Source organism: Homo sapiens, chromosome 10 (assembly GCF_000001405.40).
Source record: "Homo sapiens chromosome 10, GRCh38.p14 Primary Assembly".
Taxonomy (NCBI): Eukaryota; Metazoa; Chordata; class Mammalia; order Primates; family Hominidae; genus Homo; species Homo sapiens.
In genome coordinates, this window is record NC_000010.11 from 35,679,602 (window position 1) to 35,695,579 (window position 15,978).

General features: G+C 41.8%; 1 annotated feature.

The window, feature by feature from the left end:
- Positions 4,363–7,403: an enhancer, noted in NCBI's record as "VISTA enhancer hs1567". NCBI's record gives its function as "enhancer in: hindbrain (rhombencephalon)[6/8] | limb[8/8] | branchial arch[3/8] | genital tubercle[4/8]" and the evidence as "EXISTENCE:transgenic organism evidence [ECO:0001131][PMID:17130149]".

The following is a 15,978-nucleotide window of genomic DNA, read 5'->3' on the forward strand; positions in this document are numbered from 1 at the left end:
TCTCAAAAAAAAAAAAAAAAAAAAGTCAGGAAACAGCAGGTGCTAGAGAGGATGTGGAGAAATAGGAACACTTTTACACTGTTGGTGGGACTGTAAACTAGTTCAACCATTGTGGAAGTCAGTGTGGCGATTCCTCAGGGATCTAGAACTAGAAATACCATTTGACCCAGCCATCCCATTACTGGGTATGTACCCAAAGGACTATAAATCATGCTGCTATAAAGACACATGCACACGTATGTTTATTGCGGCACTATTCACAATAGCAAAGACTTGGAACCAACCCAAATGTCCAACAACGATAGACTGGATTAAGGAAATGTGGCAAATATACACCATGGAATACTATGCAGTCATAAAAAATGATGAGTTCATGTCCTTTGTAGGGACATGGATGAAACTGGAAATCATCATTCTCAGCAAACTATTGCAAGGACAAAAAACCAAACACCGCATATTCTCACTCATAGGTGGGAATTGAACAACGAGAACACATGGACACAGGAAGGGGAACATCACACTCTGGGGACTATTGTGGGGTGGGGGGAGTGGGGAGGGATAGCATTAGGAGATATACCTAATGCTAAATGACGAGTTAATGGGTGCAGTACACCAACATGGCACATGTATACATATGTAACAAACCTGCATATTATGCACATGTACCCTAAAACTTAAAGTATAATATTAATAATAAAAAATATTAAATGAAACAAACAAACAAAAATTAACCAGATAAAATGATGTATTTAGTTTCGTTCTGGGTTTTGGTTGACAATATTTTGTAAATGCCTGTAGGTAGTGAGCCTAGCTGTAAATCATAACTAAATCATCATAATTTACCAACACCCAACATGACATCCACAAAGGTATAACATCGATAATTCTGATGGTGTTGACAATATGCTAAACATCTGGATGAGAAGTGAAAATTTATTTTGACAATCTATACACTACCAAAAAACAAACCTAGATGTTTGGCTTTAAGTAGTTTTGTCACTTCTCTCTTAAAAATAATTGTCTCCTCTCTGCATCTATTCGTCTCTAATTGCTGCACTTTCCAATGTGGCCGACAGGAAGGAGTGCACAGGTGGCCCTTTGCATTCACAGGTTCTGTGTCTCTGGATTTAACCCATTGAGGCTAGACAACAGTCAAAAAAAATTTGTGTCTGTACCAAATATTTACAGCCTTTTCTCTTGTCATGATTTCCTGAGCAGTACAGCATAACAACTACTTACCTAGCACTTACGTTGTGTTAGGTATTGTAAGTAACCTAGAGATGATGTATACAAGAGGATGTGCGTAGCTTATATGCAAACACGAGGCCAATTTATATCAGGGACTTGGATACCTGTGGGTTTTGGTGTCTGTGGGAGTCCTGGAACTATTCCCCCATGGATGCGGCATGGAGTTGTCCCCCATGGAGGAACAACTATATAGAGTTTGTCTTTCCCTTTCTTCCTTGAAACTCCTTTAGATTTCAGATTTGAGATGACTACTTCCTGACCAGATTGAATAATTATTTACATATTAGAGTTTTGAGACAACATTGAGGCAGGCTGTCCTCTTAGCTGGACTATACTTTAGTTCTTGAACTTTGTTCTGGCATTGATGACATCTGCAGTTGTTTGAAAACTAATTGAATCTGGTAAAAGTCCCGTGCATGTGGGGGTCTGTCTTCCCCTGCCGAAAAGAACTACGCGAGCTTGTTCTATCTTCCCTTCTGTGCCCTGTTTCAAGTTCACCAGCAACAGTGTCTGCTTCTCTATAATCACGGTACCGTCTTCCTCCAGGCTCTGTGCATTTCAGGCAGAGGGAACCTACCTGCTTCAGTCTCACTTTCCTTCATTGTCTTCTCTTCATTGCCTGCTGGTCTATTCCTAACTTAGAAACTAAGATGAACATTCTCCTTAGATGCTTGCATTGGCCATTTTCTGCACTTCCATATCAATACTCAAATCGTTTGCTCTAAATCTCTACCTTAGTTCTTACATCTCACCTCTCCTCTGTTCTGATTGTCCAGCGAACCCATACATTGGGTGATTTCTTCCTTGTAATGGTTCTTGTACTTCTAGAGCTCCAGAAAGAGCCCTCTCTCCTTCTCTCCCCTTACAGTCTTTCAAAAGACTCTCCCATCCCATAAGGGAGACCCAAAGAAGACATTGGGTCCTGTCTCCTATCTTCAACCTCTCCATGTCTCTTCACAAACCACAGGGCATGACAAATTATTCCCACTTCTTCCCCACATTTTCACTCAGATGGCCTTTCTCTATATTAAGTAATTTGTTCTTGGATCCACTTATTCCTAGGATATATATTAAGCTCCCACTAGGTACATAAGGCCCTGCTGAGAGCCCTGAGGTGGAGGGCATTTGTGGAGGGAGGGAAAGAAGTTATCTCATCTTCCCTTGAGGAATTTGCAGTCTAGACAGAGGCCCAGGCATTTATTCACAGAGAAGTTGAGACTACATATGATTAAGTGACAAATGTTTGGTACAAGTTGGTACAAGCAATATAAGCCTTAGGATGTCAGAAGAGAGAAAAATTTCCTTAGATGGGAGGATGGGGTTTGGAGGTTGATGTGTAAAGGCACTGGCCTTACAGCATGGATAAGATTTGAGAGGCAGGAGCGGGTGAGAGGATTCCACCAGGGAGGAAGGAGATATGGCAGGTGACACAGCCTGGATGGAATGGACAAGCTGTGTGGAGAGGCCGTTCCTCCATGAGCCCTGGCAATTGTTGGTTTGAGGAGCACCAGGGCATCATTCATTTTCACTCTCCTTTCACTTCCTATAGCAATATATATATTTTTGATCATGTAGGTTGTATTTTGAAATGAGTGCAAAGGCAATGTACATTTGTTCATAAAATGACATTATCATTTTGCATAAATAAAATAACACTAAAAATTATATATTGTGATAAAGATAGAGAAAGAGGTTTTAGCAAACTTCTTTTTCATCAAAGAATATATCAGTTGAATGAAAAATAGGTTCTGTGTTTGCGTAAATATCTTCTTCCTTTCAGTATACTCTTTCTCTTTTCTTCAGAAATCTCATGAAGCCCACAGACTTTATAGTAAGTACTTTTTTCTCGTTCTTTTTTTTCAACTTCTATATTAGAATCAGAGGATACACGTAGATGCCGAGGTTTGGTGTACGAATGAAACCTTCACCCAGGTAGTGATCATAGAACCCAACAGGTAGTTTTTTTCAACCCTTATCCCACTCCCACCCGCCTCACTCTTGTATCCCCCATTGTCCATTGTTCCCACTTTTATGACCATGTGTACCCAACTTCTAGCTCCCACTTAGAAGTGAGAACCTGTGGTATTTGGTTTTCTGTTCCTGCACTGATTTGCTTAGGATAATGGTTTCTGGCTGCATCCATGTTGCTGCAAAGGACACAATCTCATTCTTTTTTATGGCTGCATAGTATTCCATGGTGTATAGGTACCACATTTTCTTTATCCAATACACTGTTGATGGGCACCTGGGTTGAATCTATGTCTTTATAGCAAGATTTCTGATTGAAACACAAAGACTTTCTCTTCTGCCTTCTGAAAAATGTTAAGAAACTGAACATGTGTGTATGTGTGTATATATATGTGTGTATATATGTATATATATGTGTGTATATATACACGCACATATGTATATGTGTGTGTGTGTGTGTGTATATATATATATATATATATATATATATATATATATATATATGCTTTTCCATGGCCCTGAGAAGTTGCTTAAGCCTCGACAAATTTCCTATCACCTCCATGGGGGGGTGCTTATCTGCCCTGATAAGGGCCCCATAGGCTTTTCATGGTCCTGCTTACCCTCTCACACCCCTGAAAATGTTTCATTTATATGATGTCTTCCAACTTGAACTTGAAGAGATGACATTCTTTTCACTGCTCCCTCAGTGCCAAATTAATATCCAAAGTACAGTTGAAGTTTAAAGATTCAGTCTGTTGGACTGGGAACTGGATCCTAGCTTCTATTTATCTGCCTGTCTAGCTAGTTATCCTCTTTTTCTCCCACTCTCTCTCTCCTGGTCTCTCTTTCAATCTCCCTTTCCCACTATCATCTCTCTATCTACCACCTTTTTCCCTCTTTCTGTTTTTGTATCTTTCTATCTGGCCATCACTTACTGGTCATCTCTTTCTCTCTCTTCCTGCCAACCCTATCTACCGCCCCTGTATCTATCCTCTATCCTTGCATATTTGTGTATGTAAATATTTTAAAATATACCTTTATATTTGGGAAAAAATGGGTTAAAGTAATACTTTTTGATCAGGCTGTTGATAAAGTAATCTTAACAGAAATGGCACAAGAACAAGTCGCTATCTACAAAGGAAACCAAGGCCAGTAAACCCAACACAAAGTTTTAGAATAATTGCAATGTAAGGTGCCCTGGAATTATTTCCACACTCAAAATCATTTTTTTTTTCCATTTGAAGCGATTTGGCAGAGGGAAAATTACACCTTTTCCCCTTGCTATACAAAGAGATGCCCCCTCTTCATTCTTTTGTAATTCTAATACAAACCTTGGCAAATGAGACATGGGTTCTAAGGAACATCAAATTCCATGAGTTGAGGAATATCAGAAATAGGCATTTTGCTTCAGTTGGGCAAAATAGCATCTGTGTGTGAGGATGAGACTAAAAGATTACTCTTCTAGTGTGTTTCCATGTGTAACACATGCTGTATTCAAACTGCCAATTTGTTATTGGCTTTATGTCCTATTCATAGCATTGATTTCGTGTTCATCCTGTTTCCTAAGTTTTGGGTACTCTGTAGTATACATGTTTCTTTGCATCCACCATGATTTCTCCGTGAAAGCTGCGTTCCCAGTCCTTTGTTCATTCCCTGTCTCTTTCCCCTTACCTTCCCCCTGGGCCTAATTATGAAACAACTTCAAATAAATACAAAAATTTTTAAACAAAAAAAAATTCTGCTTCCTGTGAGCAATTGCCTAGCTTTCCCCCCTCTTTTCTCTTCAAGAGTTCTAATTCACTTGGAGTACCATGCAGTTGGCCAGGCCTGAGATTTCTGGAAGCTGTAATTGTGTCTCATTAATTCTTACAGTAATGTAGGGTAACTATAAGGAACATGCAATTAGTGGTTTGGTCAATGAACAGAGCAGTTAATCAGCAGACAAAAGATGGGGCTCAGGGCCCATTAGGCTAAAAGGAAGTGTGAGGGCTGTTCCGGGCTCCAGGAATGTATTCGAACATGCCTGACTGTTGGACAGGCTCAGAAGACTATGTTTGTCTTTTTGCTAAACCGGCTTTTTTTTTTAATTGGTGTGGTATGTGTTTATTCAAACACTTGAGAGATTCCTGAGTATTCCGCGAGAGTACCCCAAGCCTTTTTCTCTCCTTGCGTTAGCTGGCCTCGGCTTCTTCCCTCCATTGTGCAAATAAACCCCCAATACACACATAACAAAAAAGCAAAAACAAGCCAAAAACAAACGAACCGACCTCCACAATAAAAATAAAGAAGAAGAAAAGCACAATACTGCTTTACTGGAGTGTATTAAACATGGAAGTCCTGAGCTGACCCCTCTGTCATCAGAAAATAAATGAATGTGGAGACCAATAACGTTGAAATAAGCTTTTGTGTTCTCAATCATCCCCTCCGTATCCATCTCTAGAAAGTGGACCTTTATGCTTTTGAATGGAGGTGCTTTAAATACATGTAAATGTATGCAGATAAGCATATGAGTTTTAAAATGTTGCAGGCCTTATAGCTACAAGTAACCTCAATTGTGTGTTTTCTGTGAGAAAATCTTGTCACATTACTTTGGAAATTTGAATACAGAAGTTAACCCCAAGGAATAAGGTCCCTTTTTCTGGGTAACATGGACTGTACTGCCCTTGCCTAGAAAAACCATGTGAAGTTTACAGATAGAATCCTGTGAAATGTTGTAAATGTGAAGCGATGATTATACAAGAAAATGGATTTATCAATAATACATTGCCCTGGGGTAATTCTGAGCTTGAGCAAACAGTTCTTCAAATAGCATGACATCGCTACTCCTAAGTAAAGCATACATTTGGAATGAAGAAGGAATGATTACATTTGCTTTTCAAAAGTGAAACCAGTTTAATTATTAACTTATTTCCTGAGTCAAGTGCAGGTCTGAAAACAAAGGTAGGGTTTTTTCTTTCTCCAAACCTGTCTGCGGTCTTATCTTCTTGGGATTCACATTGGAAACAAAGAAATGTTCAAAAAATGAATTCTCTTAGGCATTATGTTAGAGCTTCAGCTGTTTTGAATAATTAGCTTCATTTTTTAAATATTTGAAACATTTTTTACTTGGAGATAAGAATAGCCTAGTGGACGATGAGAGTTACAAATGATATACCCTTCTTATCAATTAATTAGGAACAGTAAACCCACTCAACCTCTTTTTTTGCTTATTTTGATTTTCTTCTGTAAAGAAGTGTTTTATTTATTTATTTATTTATTTATTTATTTATTTATTTATTTATTTTTGAAATGGAGCCTCACTCTGTTGTCCAGGCTGGAGTGCAATGGCGCAATCTTGGCTCATTGCAACCTACCCCTCCCGGGTTCAAGCAATCCTTCTGCCTCAGCCTCCTGAGTAGCTGGGATTACAGGCGTGCACCATCACACCTGGCTAATTTTTGTATTTTTAATAGAAACAGGGATTCGCCATGTTGGCCAGGCTGTTCTCAAACTCCTGACCTTAGGTGATCTGCCTGCCTCGGCCTCCCAAAGTGCTGGGATTATAGGTATGAGCCACTGCACCCAGCCAAGAAGTGTTAATTTTTAATTCAAAACATCATGAAGTTTCTCATTTCCTTCAATGACATGCCATGCATTGTTTCAGAAATTGGGAGACTGGTGGGGATAGGGAAGGCGGTTTAATTCTGCACCAACTAGCTTTGGAGAGACAAAGGAATTAACCTTTGCACCTCAGTTTCCTCATCTGTAAAATAAGGATTTTTAGTCAAAGTAATCTTCAAGTCTCCTTTTAACTGTGCTCTTTTGCGACTCTTTTCAGCCAACAGTGAAACTGTTCCGAGTATTATTTAAACATAGGATTTATGTCACAAACTATCCATGGTAAACCATGGTTCCAGTTTGCTGCTGCTGATGCGGGCTATGGAATCATTAGAGGTTACTACCAGCATTAAATTTGTTGTAAAAGGATTTTCTCTGTAATCAGTTTTTTTCTCCTTGTTTTGATTTGCCTGATTGCTAAATAGCTCCCTTGTTTCCTAGTGAATAACACTCCTTCATGTTTCAGGAGCTTGTAATTACCTTGGTCTTTCGGGCAGCATGCTGTCTGCCTGCTTTCATCTGTGAGTGGTCTCTACTGGTCTAGGGTTTCATGTTGTGTATCATAAATCTCAGCAACAAACGGACTTCAAAATCTTCTGTACTTCTGTAAAGTGATACAGTTGGGTTTTATGGTTGCACATTGCTTTATAAAGTAATCTGCTCTGGAATACATCTCAGAAACCATAAACACGGTGGCTGGGTATGGTGGCTTATGCCTGTAATTCCAGTGCTTTGGGAGGCCAAGGAGGGAAGGATTGCTTGAGGCCAGGAGTTCAAGACCAGCCTGAGGAACATAGTGAGACCCTGTCTCTTCCAAAAAAAAAAAAAAATTCGTTGGGAGAGGTGGTGTGTGCCTGTAGTTTCAGCTACTCAGGAGGCTGAGGTAGGAGGATCACTTGAGCCAGGGAGGTTGAGGTGGCAGTGAGCCATGATGGTGCCACTGCACTCTCGCCTGCCAGAACAAGACTCTGCCTTGAAGAGAGAAGAAAAAAATGAAGAAACCACAAACATGTTACTTTTCTCATCAGGAATGGTTCTGCTTCCCTTCAGCCTCATACTCCCAAGGAAAAGTTATTCACATATATATCGGCCACTTAGGAGGCCCATCCATACCCCGACCTGGCTGGAATTTCCGATACTGCTCAGCCCTCAAGGTCCAATCCATCCTGTTGGTTTCTCTGTCTTTTGTGACCCAACCCCTTTCCCTAAGACTTTACCTTTAACCACCCTTCCCATTTTAGAAATTCTGTCTTCTCATCAGATTGCACTGGGCAAAAGTCTTTCCTTCTTTTCTTTCCTGCCAAGATTTTCTCCAGCATAAATGTAATCTTCAGAGAATACAGAAGAATCAGTAAATTAACAATACATTCATGACTTATTCACGGCACAGGGTCAGAAACTCTCAGGCCAACATAGGCTAGGCAGATAACGTAGGAGTTGGGTGAGCCCGAGAGAAAATCACAGAAAGTGGTGGCGGGGCGGGGGTGGGGGGTATAGCGTTGAGGAGATGGGAAGCCGGGGTTGGTGAGGGGGTGGGGGGTGGAGCCCTCCAAAGGACAGGCCTCTGCTAAAGACAGCAGCCTGCACTCCCTCCAGCCAATTATCGCCATACGGGAATGTAACCTGATATGGTTAGAGCTTCTGATTTAAAAAAAATAATAATAAGTTGGAAATGTAGATTTTATGCAAACTCTCCCAATTTTTATTTTTATATTTATTTATTTATTTATTTTGGGACAGGGTCTCTCTTTGTCACTCAGGCTGGAGTGCAGTGGTGCAATTTTGGCTCACTGCACCCTCAACCTCCTGGGGTCAAGCAATCCTCCTGCCTGAGCCTTCCAAGAAGCTGGGACTACAGATGCACGCCACCATGCCTGGCTAATTTTTTTTTAATTTTTTTGGTCAGCACAAGATCTCACTATGTTACCCAGGCTGGTCTCAAACCCCTGGCCTCAAGAAATCCTTCTGCCTCAGCCTCCAAGAGCACTAGGATTACAGTTGTGAGCCACCACTCTGGTAAAACTGCCTTTTGTTTAATTACTTGTGCAAGGGATCTTTTTGTTTTGAAAGGGTAAGCTGAATAAGAGAAAGTTTGTTTTTAGATTATTCAAATTACTTTAATTCCAAGGAGTTGGGTGAGGCAACAATATGTATTGCCCATAATATGAGGATGTTATTTAATTATATCTGGAGTTACTTGGCCAAGAGGGTGGTTAAAAGTTAGGTAATTTTTCTCCTTTAACCCTCACCATCCTGTGTGACATTCTCATATTTAATGCACGTAGAAGCCAAGACTTGTCACGGAGTTAGTAAGTGGTAGAGCCTGGCCCTAGCTCAAAGGTGCATGCTCTGCACCGTCCCTGCCAAAGGGCTGGTCCAGGATCTCGGACATTCTTCAGCCTGACATTCCAGGTTCCATGCCGGATAATTATCCTCAGGATAATGCAGGGGTTACCTACTATTTTAAAAGAACTACAATCTTGGCCAGGTGCAGTGGCTCACGCCTGTAATCCCAGCACTTTGGCAGGCCGAGACGGGCGGATCACCTGAGGTTGGGAGTTCACGACCAGCCTGGCCAAGATGGTGAAACCCTGTCTCTACAAAAATACAAAAATTAGGCTGGGCGCCATGGCTCATGCCTGTAATCCCAGCACTTTGTGAGGCAGAGGTGGGTGGATCACCTGAGGTCAGGAGTTAGAGACCAGCCTGGCCAACATGATGAAACCCCGCCTCTACCAAAAATACAAAAATTAGCCAGGTGTGGTGGGGGGCGCCTGTAATCCCAGCTACTGGGGAAGCTGAGGCAGGAGAATTTCTTGAACCCTGGAGGCAGAGGTTGCAGTAAGCCGAGATTGTGCCACTATACTAGAGCCTGGGCAACAAGAGCAAGACTCTATTTCAAAAAGAAAACAAAAACAAAAGCAAAATTAGTCAGGCATGATGGTGGGTGCCTGTAATCCCAGCTACTCGGGAGGCTGAGGCGGGAGAATCATTTGAACCCGGGAGGTGGAGGTTGCAGTGAGCAGAGGTCACGCCATTGCACTCCAGCCTGGGCAACAGAGCAAGACTCCATCTCAAAAAAGAAAACAAAACAACACAAACAAACAAAAAAACAAAACAAAAAAACAAAACTGCAATCTTAAGGAATTGAAGGTTCGTTAGACTTTGGTTGAAGGACCTGAGAGAGTAGAATTCCTTCAAAGTGTTCCTGAGGCAGGTCTTTATCCCTGAACATCTCAAAGAATAGAAAGCATGGGAGGGACTTACGCTTCAGTTGGCCAAGTGGTCACATGCTTCGTATGATTTGGTATGGACTGCCAAGGGCCCCCTGCTGCTTCCAAAATAATTCCATCATCAGGCTGCCGTGCTCTCAGCCATTTCCACCATTAGAAACCCATTCCTTTGGGTTAATAAAATGATCTCTAGAAATGCCTTGACGACCTACAAGTGGCAGGAGACTGGCTGAAATAACACATGAAAACTGTAGACTGAATGATTTGATAATATTAGCAAAACTTTGAAATAATATGAGACAAGACATGGTATTTGTAACACATATAAAATATTTAACAGTGCCTGGTGTATAGTAAACAGTCAAACAGTGTTCAACGAGCAAAAATAAGGGATGGGAGGGGTGAAGTTGGGGGAGGCAGGAACAGGGTGGATGTGGTGGTAGCCGATGGGACACAGGACATGAGAGAGGGGCAGGGTTGTGAAGAAAGGAGGCTGAGACAGATGTGGCCTGCCACAGAGGTGAAGTTCAGCCCTGAGCCCTGGTTGTAGCAGTTTTCTCTCTTTCATCATAGTAGAAATCAGGCAGAATTTATGCCCACGATTTGACCGTTGCAGGAGCTTTCTGGTTCCAGGGTTTTAGGACACACAGGTTTTGTTTCAGCGGTTTAAACTTACACATTTCAGCCAAGATGATGATAAACCTCAGGAAATTAAGGAAAGGAATACATGTGATATCAAAACCAAAAATTCAATCTTCCTTCATATGTAAAACACGAAAGCCATAAGCCTGTAAACCCAAATTCTGGTAAAAATCCACTACAATGGGTTATTCAGCCAGTGTGAAATTTATGTGCACCTTAAGCAAGGGGTTATTTCGCTTCCTGTATTTCCTGTTTCCAAATACTCTTTTGAATTGAAAATGGTGAGAAGCGTAAATTATATGACACTGGAAACGTCTTTCCTATTTCATTTACGATCAAGAACTACTGTTTGCATTTGTATTATGTAGCTACTGTAGAAATTGACCAAATGTTGACAGACAAAAGGCACATGCACCCTGACAAGAGCCAAAACAAACAGGAAGGAACCAACAAGGTAGAACTGTTGGAAAGAACAAAGGATACAGACACACGGGACCATGTGAACCTGTTCTTTGCAAGATGAGCCACTACAGCTGGGTGCGTAGAAGGTTAATGAGCCTGATGGATGGAAATGGAGCTGGGTTCTTCTGTGCATGGTGCAGGCTCTAATCCAATCTGGACCCACTATGAGTTAAAGGAGACACTGGCTTTCCGGGGAGCCATGCACACAGCTAGATGGGTTTCTGGGGAACTGGAAATCGTGGTTCCACCGCCTTCTTCTCCCATCTTTCTTTCAGGTGCAAACTTTTCACCTGAAAGGCTTTCTATTTAGACCTTCCAGGAAGTGAGACTAAATGGTGTGAAGAGGAGTGAGTAAAGACCAACCCTGAATGACTGATTGAGGATGCGTGTTAGAATGGGGCTAAAGCCCTGCCGATCCATCTTTTCTTTCCATAAGGCTTTTAGTTGGTTGCCACAATGGAGAGCAAAGGTAAGATGAGGAGACAGAGGAAGAGGAAGACTAATTTCTTTCCGGTTAGGAACAGGCAGACAGTAGAGAATAACTCCAGGCAATCTGGAGTCAAGGCAAAATGATCTATGTCCAGATCCCAGTCTTTCCGCTGCAGTCCACATTTAGAATAAACATACATGCATCTACACCGTAGGGTTTCTTCCCAAGCTGGAAAGGCCATAGTAGTAAGTTGGCAATTCAGACTTTTTTTTTTCCCTTTTATTGACTAGATTCCAAATTGGGGGTAGAGGGGAGAGATAAAACTCAAATACCCCAAATTTGAACCAGATGACAAAATGTCACCCAAACCTTTTGCAAGGCAAGGCTGAAGGGTGCAGGTGTGTGTATCGGGTGTCGGTTCTTCCCTCCTTGGGTATTGACACAGTTTGCCTCTTCCCCGAGATTCAGTGAGTAGCTACTGCTGCACATAGGTACCCAGTCCCTAATGAAACTCAGCTGCACGAGTTTCATGGGGCTTTAGGATTTGTAAGCCCATGATTGGAGTTGAAGCCTTCCAGGAACCGCTGCCCTAATAGAACAGGGAAGGAAAACTGATCTATCTCTGCAGGCCTACTTTTCATTTTAATGAGTGGCTCTGAAGGACGAGCAGGCTGCTAAACAATTTATTTTTCAGATAATACGAAGAACGGACTGGAAATACATTCAGAAGGAAAACACAGTAATTAATTTGTCACTGAAACCTGAGGGGTCCGGCTCCACTTATAGGTGATAATGAATGTTTTGCACGTAATTAGCAAGAATAATTAGCACATTCCTGGTAACAAATGGACTGACTGGTACTCTGCAAACAAAATTAATTGTTGTGCTAACAGAGGCAATTGTGTCTCTTTATTGTCTGACAATGTCCCTTATATGCACTAATACCTACTTTAGAACTCAGCGGCTTTGTGCAGATAGGAAGGGGAATCTATAAAATTGTACCCCTTCCATCCGCTTCTCAGAAATTTCAAGACCACCAGGGGACTTGTTTGTCAAAACTTGTTAAACAATTTGTAATCTTTAACATGTGTTTTACTGTATTAACGGATGAACCGTTCAAATCAACTTACTGGTTAAGCCAGGAAAGCTACTCTAATCAATCAAATGCCGACATTTTAAACTCTGGGAACTTTTTTTTTCCTTTACCTTCTTTGGAAAGGAATAGATAAAAATATTGAACTAGAAGTGAGAGGGAAAATTTTCTTAAGTTCTACTGATGCATATTGAGTTTATTTCTGTTGTCTTGGCCTTATAAGGTGGGTCTGACTTGGAAGCCTGTTTGTGTTTGCAGGCTTGCAATTAGGCTGCTCAGAAGAAACACAGTGGTATCCCTTTTACAGTCCTTTAGACAGTTTTAAGCAGCACGTAAAATTTATACACACAGTAGGCTTCTTTCTCCCTGACTCTGAAACCTATTTTTTAAACTCCTACAGCTTACAATATAGGAAAATAATTTTAATGAACATGAATATTCTAGTAATTCTTAGGATGGTTGGAGAAGCTGAGAATACTATGATATACTTTAAAGAGGATTCCCTAGGTCTGGTGCAGTGGCTCAGACGCCTGTAATCCCAGCACTTTGGGATGCTGAGGTGGGAGGATCACTTGAGCCCAGGAGTTTCAGACCAGCATAGGCAATATGACAAGAACCCATCTCTATAAAAAATAAAACACTTAGCCACGCATGGTGGTGCGTGCCTGTGGTTCTAGCTACTTGGGAGGCTGAAGTGGGAGGATCTCTTGAGCCTGGGAGGTTAAGGCTGCAGTGAGCCATGATTGTGCCACTACACTACAGCCTGGGTGACAGAGTGAGACCCTGACTCAAAAAAAGAGAGGATCGTTTATCAGAACTGCATCCCTGTGTGTGCACAATAAATGATTATATGAACAGAACTGAAATCGAATTCAGGCTGCTGGTGGGTACCAGATTTCCACACACTAACCTGGCTTCCTGAGAGGAGTGGAGCAGAGCAAGGCTGGCCTTATTCTTGAGGTGTGATGTCGGGTCTCGCCCTTGGCGTCTTTGGGGCACCACTCTTGGGCAGGTACTTTTCCTCCAGCAAATTGTCTGCTCCTGGGTTTCTGTGACTCCATTTTTTTCCTGGCTCTTCTCTCATCCCTTTAAAGTTCTTCTCAGTTTCTGTCCTTGTGCCTTTACCCCTTCCTCTTAGGGGAACTGTCCTCCAGTTCTGGGGCCCTCAGTAGTTCCCTTTTTGGGCACAGGGGTTGTTTGGCATCATCACTTGGCGGCCATATCCGTCTCATATTTCCAGCTCCTTGTTGTCTACTTTCATCTAGTAGACAAAGAAGAAAAGATCCTTTCCTTTTTCTCTCAAACATCTACAGATTTCTCTAAAACAAAATGGATTTTCTGCCTCCAATTTCTGCTTTCTGTTCATGAAACCAACATTTTGTCAGACACGGGGTGGGTGCAGTGGCTCATGCCTGTAATCCCAGCACCTTGGGAGGCTGAGACAGGTGAATTACTTGAGGCCAGGAGTTCGAGACCAGCCTGGGCAACATGGTGAAACCCCATCTCTACTAAAAATACAAAAATTAGTCAGGCATGGTGACACTCGCCTGTAGGCCCAGCTACTGGAGAAGCTGAAGTAGAAGAATTGTTTGATCCCAGGAGGCAGAGGATGCAGTGAGCGGAGATCGCACCACTGCACTCCAGCCTGAGTGACAGACTGGGACTCTGTCTCAAAAATAAAATAAAATAAAATAAAATAAAATAAAATAATAAAATAAAATAAAATAAAATAAATAAAATAAAATAATAAAATATCAGCCACGGAGCCTGCAAATCTCTGGATTATCATGGTTGCCTCTGATTTCAACCAGTTTCTAAGTCATATCCAGTATTATTTTCCGAAGGATATCTCTTTGTTGTTTTTCATCCTATTGTCACCGGGCTACTCAAGCTTCCAAGCCTCCTCAGTAATTTTTCTGTTGTTAGGAAACTGGTTTCCCTATTGCTTTTCTTGTTCATTCTGCACACCGTAAGTATATGCATCAATTAACTACTTTGTATCATGTAATTCACTGGCTTAAAAATATCCGGTGGACCCCTGGCTTGACATCCAAAGCCCAAACTCCTTCACTTAATGTGCAGAATTCACCATTGTTTGATCCTAGTGGTTCCTATGTATAAATATGTTCTGGCTAGACATGCTGTTTTCATACCGATTTTGCACATTCTGACTCCACAAAGCCCCTGGCCTTCTTCCTTCTCTCATCTAAATCTATCCATTCCCTAAAGCTCTGTCCTAGTTTCCCTTCCTCGCAGACACTTCCCTGATCACTGGAAGCTGCGGTAAAATGCTTATCTGAACGCTGTCTTGCCTCATTCTGATCACTTGGTCAGGAATCAGCCTGCATTGCCTACTATTGGCATTTACCTTGCATGTGTATTTCTTGCCTGTACAGTTAAATTTCTCAAGGCCAGGAACTGTGTCATATTTTAAAGCTACTGCTAATTCCATTTGGTATCAGTTATGTTTAACATTTATTTCAAAGCCAATTTTATAAACATTGTCCTTTTTAGAGGACTTTATTCGTTTTTGGGTTCTGTCTTTGGCTCTGGGTCTTTGTCTTTTGCTTTTCCAGATGTTGGAAGCTCTTGAGCAAGGATTTGAACACTCATCCAAAGTCAGGCATCTTTGTGCTTCCAGGAGGCAGGGGTTCTGTGTGAGAGATTAAACGGCCATTCTCTCTGTGGCTGCAGGATTTCGCAGGGCACGCCTCTGGAGAGTAGTGAGGTGGAAAAGTGGTTACAAATTAGAGGATACAGGTTCCTGTCCTTCTTTGTTGCTGTCGAGCTGTGTGACTCTGGGAAAATTGCTTTGCCCCTCTGAGACTCGCTTTCTCACCTGCGAAATCCATTCATTCATTCATCCAGCAGATAGTCACTGGGTTCCTACTGTAAGTCATTTTGACTAGGGGATTCTCTGAGCTTCTAAATGTTTTTTTCTGCAGTGCTTATGTAACCTTTTGTTCATACCAGTTTATAACACATTGTCCAAAAATTAGTTCTATTTATTTGTTTTTTTTCTCAGATAGATTTTTTTTGTTTGTTTTTGTTTTTGAGACGGAGTCTCACTCTGTTGCCCAGGCTGGAGTGCAGTGGCGCAATCTCAGCTGACTGCAAGCTCTGCCTCCCAGGTTCATGCCATTCTCCTGCCTCAGCCTCCCGAGTAGCTGGGACTACAGGTGCCCGCCACCATGCCCAGCTAATTTTTTGTATTTTTAGTAGAGATTGGGTTTCACCATGTTAGCTAGGATGGTCTCGATCTCCTGACCTCGTGATCCGCCTGCCTCAGCCTCCCAAAGTGTTGG